The 14,192-nt window shown below is 38.7% G+C and overlaps 1 protein-coding gene across 26 annotated transcripts in view, besides 1 other annotated feature; it reads right to left on the bottom strand.

Moving 5' to 3' along the window:
- The window catches only part of DNM3 (dynamin 3), a 576,969-nt gene that overhangs the window by 475,469 nt on the left and 87,308 nt on the right, over positions 1–14,192 (bottom strand). The window lies entirely within an intron of this gene.
- Positions 36–537: an enhancer, noted in NCBI's record as "H3K27ac hESC enhancer chr1:171911601-171912102 (GRCh37/hg19 assembly coordinates)". NCBI's record gives its function as "activates a minimal SCP1, AML or CMV promoter by ChIP-STARR-seq in naive H9 embryonic stem cells {active_cell/tissue: H9 hESC(naive)}" and the evidence as "EXISTENCE:reporter gene assay evidence [ECO:0000049][PMID:30033119]".

The following is a 14,192-nucleotide window of genomic DNA, read 5'->3' as shown; positions in this document are numbered from 1 at the left end:
TGGGACTACAGATGCATGCCACCTCACCTGGCTAATTTTTGACTGTTTGTAGAGATGAAGTCTTACTATGTTGCCCAGGCTAGTCTCAAACCTCCTGAACACAAGCAGTCCTCCTGCCTCAGCTTCCCAAAGTGCTGGGATTGGAGGCATGAGCCACTGCACCCAGCCTTGCACTGGCTCCTGCTTCTGCCTGGAATACTCTTCCTCAAGATAGCCACTTGGATCACCCTTTCAGCTCCAGGAAGACTTAGTGACATACAAAAACTCCATAAAACTGCAATCCAGTACTCCCAGTTCCCTTACCCTAAACTTTTTGCCTTCCATAGCATTTAACATTATCTAAAATACTACATAATTTACTTAGTTTTGTTTATTGCGTGTCTTGCCCCATAAATTCAAAATTGCCCACTTCGTTCAATATGTGTCTGGTACATAGAAGCTCCCAATAAATATTTGTGAAATGAATGAATGAATGAAATTTTCAATTAACATCTAATATTCACCTATTATTTCCCTTTGCACTGGTGTACCACTTACGTTCTTTTATTCCTTTGAGGTTGTGTTAGTTTAAATACATGTATTAGTTTTGCATATGCTTATTTCCTTACATAAAAGTTTGCTGTATATCTCTACAACTTTCATTTCAGCAACTTATAACTAGGACTTAACATATGGTTCCTTGGAATAGGCTTAACTCTGTGCCAGTATCTCAGAGAGCAGTAACTGAGGTCCAGACTCCAAGCAGAAAAAGAGTATCAGATCCCTTATTCCATAAAAAAAAAAAAAAAAAAAAAAATCAAGTGAGCAGCATTTAAAAACATTCTGGATCTAAGACATCAAATATCTTTCCCCAACAGCTTGCTCAATAAATACCCAAGCCACCTTTGCTAAGTCCACTCTGTACTAGTCTTGTGAATCATTTACCTAGCCATCCTCAATTCAAACATATGAACAAAAAATACAAACAGATTTTTATAACCGAAAATGCAAAGAAGTCACCCTCCAATATAAAAAATAGCAAAATATAAATCTTAGTATGTCATCCTTAATCACAAACCCCCTTGTGCAAAAAAGGCATATGGGTTTATATGTATTGATATCTGAGTGTTTTCCTTTAACCACAGAAACTCAGTTTTATTATATACATATTACAAGTTACTGCTGTTGGGCATAATTAGAAAATGATAGCACTGACACAGAAATGGGAAATATGTGTGGTTTGGTTAGGGGTTCATTCAATAAATTCACTTTCTTTCCTAATTAATATGTGGGGAAAACAATGAACCCATAAAGTAGGGATACTATGAACAAGGATATTAAGCTTTACACACTGGTCTCTGCCCTTGAGAAGCAAACATCCTGTTAGGATGAACACAAATATACCAGTCAATAGCACACCAAGATGGACTCTATGGTAGACATCTCAGTCCAGAAGTGGGGCGGCACAAAGAGGAAGAGGGCTGACTTTTCCTGAGGGGGAGTATTCTCCAGGCCTGACTTCTAAACATTCACCTCCACTATTCTTCCTCACTCTACAGTTGCAGTATGTATACCTTCCTCAGTCATATTATTTCTTCATATCACTCCTGTGGGTAACTCTGCTATTATAGTATCCAGGAAGTATTTAAGGATTTGGCTAAGCATTAAAAGGGTTATACTGTAGTGCCCAACAGGTGAGAATAAATACCCAAGCCACCTTTGCTAAATCCACCATGTATTTGTCTTGTAAATTTTTTTCCTAGCCATCCTCAATTTGAACATATGCTCACCATACCTGTTGGACACTATAGTATAACCCGCTTAGTGTAAGCACTTTGTCATATGTGTAGCTTTGTTTATCCTTCAGAAACCTAAAAAAATGCAGCTTTCACATGAGGAAAGGTAATCAATAAACATTTGTTAAGTATGTGTTCTTCATGAGTTTTTTTAATGAATACTCAAGTTTAATGATCTCAATAGCACAGATACAAAATAATTTAAAATTTTATTTTAAAGCAAACAACAATTTAGACAATAATAAACAATTGAGACCATTTTTAAAGATTACACCTACATTCTAAATCAAAATAAGCCAGTATCATATTTAAATATATTTATGTTTATTCTGAATTCTGCACTAGTACATGATCAATGAAATGCCTACATGGTATCTAATATAAATATTGGTAGACATGTACACAGAAAAATAAAAATGTTAAAATAGTACAATGATGAAAAGTCAGGTATATCATATACATGTCAAGAAAAAGGGTTTTGATAGGGAATGAGAGAAACAAGGGCAAATAGACATTTAAAATGGAAATTGTAGTTGATATGCCTTAGATTAAAGACTCTTCCAAGAACAGACTCTCAAGTTGCTTTCAACATGCCTTACAGAGATACATTCTTTCTAAGTCCAACTTTTTATAGTGCTTGTAAAGAATTGCATCACCCCAAATTGCAATGTAATGTAACAGTAAAAACTGAAGCTAACTGAGGGAAACAATCCCATCCAGTGTTTTAATTATGCAGAGGTTAAAAAGAAAAACTCAGGTCTCTTTAAATATTAGCCAAGATGAGAGTAACAGGAAAACAACTGAAACATGGTCTGCAAGACACAAACTGGCAACCTCTCTGTTGTGCAGCACACTGCAGGCATTCAAAATCCATTAATGAAGAGATGAATGAATAAATGAATGCAAAAACTTAAAGATAAAAATTTATGAAACAAATACACTTTGGGAAAATAATGAGAAAAAAATTCCACCAGGCTTGCAGGAGACTGTTAATATTAAACTAACACAATTATTTGAAAAGTACTTAATGAGAAGTTAGTTCACTTTGAAAAATAAACACCTAGAGTGAGTACAAAACCATCTTATAAATCAGCAGAATAACCCAATTATCGTCTGTTCTTAGCTGTTCAGACACCCTAACAACCAACTTCTTAAACTCACTGATCATATCATTCAGCAATAAATGAAATAACCTGTCCTTCTCTGCGTGGTCAGTGACTACTGATCAATAAGAGTATCATGGGGAGGAAGACAGGCTGTAGCAGCAGGAAGGATAAAGCATGCCCCCTGAGGAAGGGAAGACAGAGACAATGCCTTCCAGACTACTCCAACTCATCTAACAAATGCAAATACAGGGGCATCTGTGATCTATGATTTCTGTTGTTAGAGGCCCAAGGGGAAGCAATAAGAGTAAGAAGGCGTAGGTAAGTAACAATTATTATCAACTATAGACCCAGGCGTGATATAAAACAAGTCTATTCATTTTCTTACTTTAAAAAAATTATACTTCTTCCTCTCAGATTTAAACAGATATTAACAACTCTACAGTTTGTCTTTTAGTTCTCTTCAATATCAACTATTTCAAGACAACCTATTTTTTCTAAATGGGAATGAGGAAGGGAATAGAAAAAAGAAAAGTCCTAAAACTAAGGAACTTGTCTTTCTTCCATCCGATCTCTTTTAGCAGACATTAATTCTGGAGTAGACATTACATGGACCAAATGGAACTAAGTTCAGAGAAGTATAATCGTTGGTTTGGAAACTCAAGGCAGCTACAAACCTCCATATCTCCTCCAAAAATAGACAAGAGACAAATAAACCTAAAATAGAACAAATAAACACCAATTCAAAAATCACTTTAACCTCACAATCATGAGTGGTAATTCTACTGAAATATATTATTTCTTCATTTACTTCAAAGAGAAATATAATACCTTTGATTTAGTAATTTCCCTAATAAATGGAAATGTATGTGGTGTTAAAAGGCAGTGATTTAACTGTGAAGAAATAAAATTTGGATCAGTTGCTTTTCTCAAAATTTTGAGAATTGAGCAAAAATTGATCTCAATATTGGAAGGTACATAATTGACTACTAGAAATTTTGTCTATTAATAAATGTGTAATCAATGCTTAAGCCAAGGAAAAAAAGTAACAAAAGAAAGTGGGTTAAAAATAAGTTTTGGGGTGTTGTCAGTAAGGAAAAAAAAGGAAGAAAAAATTAACATAACCAGCAATTCACAGTGGTATCCCAATAACCAGGCATAAAATAAAGGTAAGTTGAATCTATTAAGCTATGCAAATATTAAAAGAACAGTGACCTGAAAAAACACAATCAAATAAGATTTAAAGTAGGTCTGAATGACAGTCCCAGATAGCACCAACTACCTTTTTTTCCCCTCAAAAACAAGGCTTATAAGATTTCAGAAAGTGAACCATTTTGACCTCTCAATGAAATAGGTTACAAATGTGGGAATATTTGGACCAAGTCCGACCTTAATATATGTATGATGTATCTGCATCTCTCTCCATCTAATAAGCATGTTTTTCCAACTGGGAACTTTGGAGATTCATTTATTTATTACATTGTGTCCAATATTCAAGGAAAAATATTACAAAGCATCTGCCCAAAAGGTAAATGCCTTTGAACACTTCTATTCCAGTGATCCTCAAACTTTTTAGAAAATTCATCATTCTCATTATCCAACTCCTCCACAAAATATATTTTAATTTATTTTGATAGTTACATTTTCCAGATTTAAAATTATGTGCTTGAGAACTGTCTGACACTCCATGGGGACCATGGAAATTCCTTGGCTTATCAGAAATCAAGGAGGAGATGCCAAGCTCCGAGGGACAAGTGTATATGCACCACTTGTTTGTACAGGGATTTCAGTAGGATAGTTTTTATCTCTGTTTATGCCTGGAAGGTGGGTTGGTTATGTAACAAACAAAAAAAAAACCTTGATGCTATTAGAATTTCAACCTCTGATAGTGAAAGGTCTTGAAACACCACAGCCAGGGGTGCTGGTGTCTGAGCTAGATGCCCAGGTGGCAAGAGAACACAGTTCAACATTGAATGAGTGCCTGGTTATGTTCAAAGCACTGTGCTTAGACTTCTATACAGATGCCATGACTGAACATTTAGAAAATCATAAAAAGAACGATTGCTCATTTCAAGAAAAAAAAAAAAACTCTATTAAAAGGAAGAAGGAAAGGTGTCTAGAGAAAGAAAACAATAGTGAGAGAATTTGATGAAACTGTTGAGAGTGTTTCTCAAAATGTGATTCAAAGACCAACAGCTTTAGAAGCAACTGATACTAGTCCTTGAAAATGCAGATCTGGCCAGGCATTGTGGCTCATACCTGTAATCCAAAAGCACTTTAGGAGGCTTGCTGGGATTGAAGCAGGAGGATTGCTTAAACCCAGGAGTTTGAGAGCAGCCTGGGCAACATGCTGAAACCCATCTCTGTACAAAAAATAGAAAAATTAGCTAAATGTGGTGGCACACCCCTGTGGTCCCAGCTACTCTGGAGTCTGAGGTAGGATAATAGGTTGAGCCTGGGAGATCAAGGTTGCAGTGAGCCATGATGGCACCACTCCACTCCAGCCTGAGTGACAGAGTGAGACCGTGTCTCAAATAAATAAATAAGTAAATAAAGCAGGTCTCTGGGCCCTACCTCAGACTTCATGAATCAAACCTCCCAGGGGTGATGTCCAGGAGTCTGCATCTATAAGAAGCCCACCCAGTGTATCTTGTGCACATTAAAATTTAAGAATAACAATATTAAAGAGATTTAAACTATGAATTCTGTAACCTGCACTTTAGCAGCAATAGGGAACCAGCAGTGAAGCAGAACAAGGTCAAAGCTGTAGTTTAAGAAGAAATGTTTTCAGAAGTACATTTATTACCATGAGGTTAATTTGTTACAATGGAAAAAAAAAAACATAAATCCTTTGCAAAAGCAGATTATCTTATTCTAAAATATCAATTTTAATTAAATTCAGACACTTAAATGTAAAACAAAGCGAGAAATGTAGTTTTAAAGTGTTTTCAATGTTGTTATTCAAAACAAGATTTGAATGTTTTTGCTATGTATCAGTCTAATTTATGAAACTAGAGAACAAGTCCTTGACATTGTACAGAAATCAAGACAAAGTCTAACTAATCTATAAACATCCTTAAAATATCTCATCGGTGAAAAGTTGACATTGTTCTCATATTAGTGACTCCTGAGTATTGTTGTAGGAATCCATCTCTTCCCTTTTGCTCAGTCTGCCTAGACTCACAGTGCTCTAAGGCTGCTCTAAACATGACCCCCATTGTGGAGCCCCTCTCCCAGAATGTGATGATTCATCATTGCTTACTTGGTGCCTCCAAACAAGTTTTCTGATTTCTGTTACTGGGTATCTTTCTTTATTAAAATAATTATTTATAGCAATTCCAGCCAAGGATCCCAAATACTCAATACTGATAATTATCTAATAAATTCCAAGTCATGTAAAAATTTTAAAACATGGACACCCTTTACATTATGTAATAGATACAATATAAAGGTGGTAAATTAAATGAATAATACATTTAACATCCATGAAAGGAAGAAATAGCAAGAAAACCTTCTACAAAAGAAAGAATACTTTGGTAATTTAAAGTTACCCTTAACTTATTTACTTTGTGATTTCTTATTTTAGTATCTTCCTTTCTTATACTAATGTCATTGAAATAAAGCAGAGTAAACAATATAGTAGCATTTAGAGAGATATTTTAACAGAAAAATTATCCAGGAGACAAAACCATTTGTCCTTAACCTTGACCCAGAGACTTTACTGTTATAACCCGCCAACAGTAACTTTCTTTCTTTCTTTTCTTTTTTTGAGACAGAGTCTCACTCTGTCACCTAGGCTGGAGTGTAGTGGTGTGATCTTGGGCTTGGCTCACTGCAACCTCTGCCTCCCGGGTTCAAGTGAGTCTCCTGCCTCAGCCTCCCAAGTAGCTGTATGTGCCACTATGCCCGGCTGTTTCGTGTTTTTAGTGGAGATGGGGTTTCACCATGTTGGCCAGGCTGGTCTCAAACTTCTGACCTCAAGTAATTTGCCCACCTTGGCCTCCCAAAGTGCTGGGATTATAGGTATGACCCATCGCTCCCAGCCTACAGTAACTTTTAATGCAAAGAGTGACTTGTATTCTGGTGTCTTAAAAAAAAAAAACACCTTCTTCAGGGGGCATATCAAATTCCAAATGGATTGTTTCTTAAATTAGCAACACTGTAATACGTTAAATGTGCTCAGGAGTTCATCAAATTACCCTCAGGCACATTTGCTTTCTCAGTTTGACACATGGCTTAACCAGTAAACAGTAAGATCAGGTATTGAGAAAGGAGGAATTAGTGGTGTCCTGGTAAATGCTTAACAACTGGCTCCCTAGAGGCAAAAAAAAAAAAAAAAAAAAAAAAAAAGTTTTGATTTGTAGTATTTGCCAATTTCTGAAGTGTAAATACTCCAACCATGACTAATTTCTAGCTACCATCATGATGTCACTGAATATGGACATGGAAAGAGAGGCACACAATCAGATCTTAGGAGCTGGCATAAGCCAGTTTCAACATGGCGCTGGAGGAAGCCACAACGCACTGAAACTGTCCCATTGTCTTACAAAGACCCTCTCCTGCTCCCTTGCTCATGACACTGCAGTCATCACCCAAGACCTCATCAATGTTTTGTACATCTCTTGTCCTCCCAAGCCACACCTTCAGAAATGTCCCTCTCTGAAACCAAATTACCTTGACCTAGCACTTAAAATTTTTACCTTTATTAATAAAAAAGAAGCCATGATTTTCCTCACCTTTCTCACAATACTACGTGATTTCCTGGAATGCTTTCCTGTACTAAGTACTAAATGTCCTATAACAAATTACACCGAATAAGGCTTAGGGCCTCTAATTTTTTGGCTCGGTTTGGCAACTAATACAACAGCAGATGGAGACAAGCAGTTAAATATTACTAAATAGGCATTGTGTTGGAAATTAGATAGTAATTCTGAATTAACCAAATAATATTTAATATTTATATATTTATTCTCCTTTACATTAAAAATATACTATAAAATATACAATATATTCTGCAAATATAAAAGCAAGCCGTAGGAGTTTTCTCTTTTAAAAATGCAATATTAGCAGTATCATACAGATACGAGTAAAATTCCCCACTCCTACCAACAGTGCGGCTTTGGATAAATTGCTTAAGTCTCTTTTTCTAAAATGGGTCTCTTATTCTAAAAGGAAATCATAATATCTATCCCAGAAGATTTTGTAAGGACTAAATGAAAATAGCATCAAAATGTGCAGTGCTGATAATGCTGATTATGCTCAAAAAATGGTAGCTACTCATCATTTTAGTTTCCCACATAGTATCTGTCCTGAGCCTGCCAATCTCTTTATAAGACTTTCTAGGGTTATGACAAAGTCACTGCATTGGACACTCAGTATCCACATGGTTTTGAATAGTCCCTGAGTGTCCTGACATCCCACACCTCCGGACCCAGGTGCCACCACATCCCCAGGTCTAACCTTGCCTAAGCTCTTACCACAGCTGCTAGTTCTGAAGCCCTGAGTCAAAGACATACACTTTGTAAAAAACAAGGCTAGTAGCGCTCCTTAATTGGAAAGAGAGACTAAAATGCATCCCTGGGCTTTTAAGAATTGCAAAAGCTAATAGAAGAAAGTAAAAGAGAAGCAGAGGGAGAGTTACTAACTTATTCTATGCTGACTAGTATAGCTTTGATTCAATAACTTGACAATAATAAATGTATACAGAGACAATGAAATGCAAATAACATAAATTAGTGGAATTACTTCAACAGTACAATAAAAGTATTAATTGCTATAATCAAGTATATCTTAGGAATGCAAGGATGCTTAAATAAGAAATCTATAAATGTAAGGGTAAACATGTCCAAGAGTTTTTTAAGTGATCATCTCAATAGATGCCAAAATGGCACTCAAGAAAATTACACACCTATTTGTTATGCTTTAAAATCTTTTTAAAATCTAAAATAAAATAATTCCTCACCAGGACAAATGAACAGTAAGTAATATATGCATAGTATAACACAAAAGGCATTTTCATCACAACTAGGAGAAAGGCATTGTTCTGAAGTCCTAGCCAACAGTAATAAAACTTTGAAGAGGAATGAGAGACAGAACTAATGGAAATGAGAAGAGAAAATGATTACTATCAGCAAATACTTTATCTTCTACTTCCTGGAGAGAATAAAGTCAGTAAATGAAGAATCCCTTAACTCTCTACCGCTAAAAGTACAGACATAACCACAGCTGCCCACATTTTCCTTTTTCCATTTGGTTGCAATAGAGGAGGCGTCCTCCCATCCTCCTTGTGTGTAAAGGAATTACCCTAGCTCACTCTCCAATATCTCAATCACACTATCCTTTATTTTACTTACAGTCAGTGGCCCCCACTTTCAGATGCTAATCCTTCTATCATGTTCCCTTTCATCATCCCTGGCTCACAAGACCCTCCCCAATCAGCTTTCTTGCTGTTGCAGCAACAGTAGCTCTCTTTACCCCATTTCCTACCACCCCGTCTCACTCATCCACCTCCAGCCCCACTTGCCTCCTTTCTAAACTTCAAACACATAAGCCGCTCCCATCTACAACCTTCTAACTTACCTCTGCCTACATAAATATCAGCGTGGCTTGAACACTCACTTTCTTTATCACCTAACATTCTGTGTATTTGTTTTGTTCATTGTTGGTTTCTCTCCACCTAGAATGTAAGCCCCATGATGACAGTAATATTTGCCTGGCACCTAGTAATCATTCAATAAATATTTGTTGAATAAATGAATGAATCAAAAGGAAGTCATACTTATATTATGTCCCAATTAAGATCTGAAGGCACAAGCAAACTGCATGAGCAGTGAACACACACCCCAGATCGCTTCTTTCCCCCATTTTATTAGCCCACCGTCAACCCAAGTCTACGGTCACATGAGATTTCTCTATGAACAAGTTCACTTAGGATGAAAATAAATTAGCCCAGTTTTCAGCTGACACCAGCCAGAGTGGAGTGCTGTAATGCAAAAACCCCATTTTGAGGTACCTGAAAGACTGTAGACAGAAAGTCTTCCCTGAAGAAACAATTTCTAGTCTATTTTGCCTGAAAAGTGAGGTGCTATGTGTGCTATGATCCTCACTGATTAACAGGAAAAAAAAAGAAGGAATGGTCAAGGACTTAGAAGACACGAGGCAAAAAGTTATGGGAAAGAAGCACGTTAGGCCTTCTTGAAGGAGCTCAATATGTAAGAATATTTTCCCATGTCTATACTCACCAAAAGGTCCCCACTGCAAAGAAACTTATTAATATTCTAGTCAATGTCTCTTTTCTCAGCCATTCCAGTATTTGCATGATGAGTATTTACTGAATAAATTAAGAAGTGCAAATGAAATGGCTGTATAACTAAAATACCCAAGAGAATAAATTTAAAATGCTTTAATCTACCAAATGTAGAATAAGATGGTTAATTAAAAAGTTTAAAATGCAACGGCTTTTAAGATCAGCAATAAGGAGTTTGAAAATATAACTGTAAAATAACCTAAACTAAAAGAACAATAAAAAATAAAGATGAATACCCTATCTAGAAAAGCATGAACACTATATAAAACCATCAAAAATTTTAATAGGATGCCTGAAGTGAGGGAAGGGAAAAATTTTTTTACTAAGAAATACAAAGAAAAAGGTAGGAGGTGGGTGGGGAGTGCAGTGGCTCATGCCTGTAATCCCAGCACTTTGAGAAGCCAAGGCAGGTAAATTGTTTTCGGAAGATCACTTGAGCCTAGGAGTTCAAGACCAGCCTGAGCAACATAGCAAGACCCCATCTCTACAAAAAAAAAATTAAAAATTAGCCTTGCCTGGTGGTGCATGCCCGTAGTCCTAGCTATTTGGGAGGTGGAGGCAGCAGGATCACTTTAGCTGAGGAGTTGGAGGTTACACTGAGCAATGATCATGCCACCGCACTCCAGCCTGGGTAACAGAGTGAGACCCTATCTCAAAAATGAGGAAAGAAGGAAAGAAAGAGAGAAAGAGAGAGGAAGGAAGGGAGGAAGGGAAGAAGGGAGGAAGGGAGGGAGGGAGGGAGGGAGGAATGGAGGGAGGGTGGGGGATGGGGAGAGGGAGAGGGAGGGAGGGAGGAAGGGAGGGAGGAAGGAAGGAAGGGAGGGAGGGAGGGAAGGAAAAGATACATTATGGTCCTTGGATTAAAAAAATAATAAATATTTTTAAGGTATCAGTTATTCCCTAGTAAATCTACTGGTTTAAAATAATTCTAGTGGCAATAGTTTCATCTTTACAAAATTTTTCTAGACTTTTCCACACAATTATAATAGAACCCCTAAATTTAAAAAAAGTAATGGGAGAGGACTACAGCCCTGCCAGGTGAGATATTTAAAGCAAATTATAAACCCACAAAAGTAAAACACTGTGGAATTGGTACAATAAAACAGAAAGATATTCAGAAATAGATGGTAGTAGTTACCACACTGTAATATAAGATAAAGGGAATTGGGGAAAAAATTGTTTCTGCATACATGAAAACAAATTTCAGATAAAGTAAAGAAATGTTTAAAATTTTTTACCTATGAAAGTGAAGAGCACTGTGCTAAATATTTACTTTTTAAAAATCTAAATGTACAGATTTCATAACCATAGAGTAAAACTTCTATATATTTAAAATAATAAATCCAGAATATAAATAACCAGAAGTACAGAAACTTTGTCCTAATCACTTTTATATCCTCAGGGCCACAAACAGTGTTACAAATAATTTACTTTTTTCAAATGACAGGACTTGAGCCTGTCCTTTGAATCAAACTTAATACAGATTTTATAACATTATAAAAATGGTTAAAATATCTATGATTTCTCCAGATATCAGCTGGGATTATGACAGGGATTGCATTGAATTTGTAGATCAGTTTTTAAGGCATTGCCATCTTAACACTGTTACGTCTTCCAGTCATTGAGCATGGAATATTTTTCCAAATATTTAGATCTTCTCTAATTTCTTTCAACAATAATTTATAGTTTTCATAGCATAAGTTTTTCATTTCTTTTGTTAAATTGATTCCTAAGTGGTATACTCTTTTTGTTATACAGATGAGGGCTTCCTATGTTGCCCAGGCTGGTCTCTAATGCCTGGCCTTACCTTCTTATGCGCCAGGACAACAGGTGTGAGCCACCACACCTCCCCCTAAGCGATATACTCTTTTTGATGCTATTATAAACTGAATTATTTTCTTAACTTCGTTTTTGGATTGTTCATCACAAATGTATAGAAATACAATTGATGAGAGGTGGCCAAGATGGCCGACTAGAATCAGCTAGCATGTGTGGCTCTCATGGAGAGGCACAGAAGGGGCAAGTAAATACAGCACGCTCAACTGAAACATCCAAGTACTTGCACTGGGACTAATCAAGGAAACAACTTGACCCGTGGAGAACGGAGAAAACTAAGACAGGACAATGGCCCACCTGGGATCAACACAGAGCCAGAGGAACATCCCCCACCCAGGGAAGCGGTGAGTAAATGAGGGACCCCAGGGATCCATGCTTCTCCCACGGATCTTTGCAACCCTCAGTTCAGGAGATTCCCTCATGAACCCACTCCACCACGGCATTCAGTCTGACACACAGAGCTTTGTGGAATCTCAGCAGAGCAGCCACTCAGGCACATGCAGAGACCAGGAGCCTTAGATACCCAGGCTTTCCAACAAAAGCAGCTGCAACTATGGCAAAGCAGGAGGATAGACCCCCATACATAACCCTAGGAAAGAGGCTGAATCCAGGGGGCTGAGAAGTGACTGTCTGCAGGCCCCAATTCCACGGCACCTCACAGGATATGACCCACTGGCTTGGAAATCCAGCCAGCCACTGGTAGCAGCATTGCACCTCCCTGGATAGAGCTCTGCGGGGAGGGGCAGGCCACCATCTTTGCTGTTGGGGTGACTTCGCCATTCCAGCCTTCAGACTTTGGAGAGTTCAAACTGACCAGGGGCAGAAGGGATCTCCCAGCACAGCATGGCTATTCTACAAAAACGTGGCCAGGTTGCTTTTCTAAGCAACCTGGTCCCTGATCCTGTTCCTATTTACCAGGTGGAACCTTTCAACCAGAGCCTGCAGACACCCACACCTGTATTCTCCAGCCCACAGAGATTTGAAACCTCACTGGGACAGAGCTCCCAGAGGGAGGGGTGGGCCACCATCTTTGCTATTTGGATGACTTAGCCATTCCAGACTTCAGCTTTGGAGAGTCCAAGCCAACTGGGGGGAAAAGCCGTCCTTCAGCACATCACAGCTGCTCTACGAAAATGTGGCCAGACCACTCTTTTAAGAGGATCCCCAATGCTGTTTCTCCTCCTCACTAGGCGGGACCTCCCAACTGGGGTCTTCTGCCACCTCAGCTGGTGTTTTCTGGCCAACAGAGACTTGAAACTTCCCTGGGATGGAGCTCCTAGAGGGAGGGCCAGGCTGCCATCTTTGCTGTTTGGGCAACTTAGCCATCCAGCCTTTGGGCTTTGGAGAATCCAAGCTGACTAGGGGTGGAAGCGGTCCCCCAGCACAGCATAGCTACTCTCCAAAAATGTGGCCAGACTGCTTTTTTAAGCAGGTCCCCAGTCCCCTTCCTCCTTACTGGGCAGGACCTCCCAACCAGGGTCTCCAGCCATCCTCACCAATGCTCTGTTTGGGTGACTTTGCTGTTCCAGCCTTCAAACTTTGGAAAGTCCAAGACAACCAGGGACTGAAGGGACCCCCAGCACAGCACAGCTGTCCTACAAAAACATGGCCAGACCGCTTTTTAAAATGTGTCCGCAATCCTGTTCCTCACCACCAGGTGCAACTTCCTAACCAGGGTCTCTAGCTATCCCCACTGGTGTTCTCTGGCTGACACAGGTTTCAAACCACCCTGGGACAGAGCTCCCAGAGGGAAAGTCAGGCTGCCATCTTTGCTGTTTGGGCAACATAACCATTCTAGCCTTCAGGCTTTGGAGTGTCTGAGGCAACCAGGGGCTAAAGCAGATGCCCCAACAGAGCACAGCTGCTCTATGAAAACATAGCCAGACCGCTTTTCTAAGCAGGTCTCCAATCCCATTCTTCCTTCCTGGAAGGGACGTCCCAACCAGGGTCTCCAGCCACCTCCTACAGTGTTTGGGCTGGCAACAGGTCTGTAACTCCCTGGGACGGAGCTCCCAGAGGGAGGGGCAGGCCGCCATCATGGCTGTTTTGCAGCCTTCACTGGTGATACCTCCAGGTACTAGAAAATTCAAAGTGACTAGGGACCAGAGCAGGCACCAAGCATACCACAAGAGCTCTATGAAAAAGCAGCCAGACTGTTAGATGGGTGCCCAT

The sequence above is a fragment of the Homo sapiens genome, chromosome 1 (assembly GCF_000001405.40).
Source record: "Homo sapiens chromosome 1, GRCh38.p14 Primary Assembly".
Classification (NCBI taxonomy): domain Eukaryota; kingdom Metazoa; phylum Chordata; class Mammalia; order Primates; family Hominidae; genus Homo; species Homo sapiens.
This window is presented reverse-complemented; position numbering and strand designations above follow the sequence as displayed.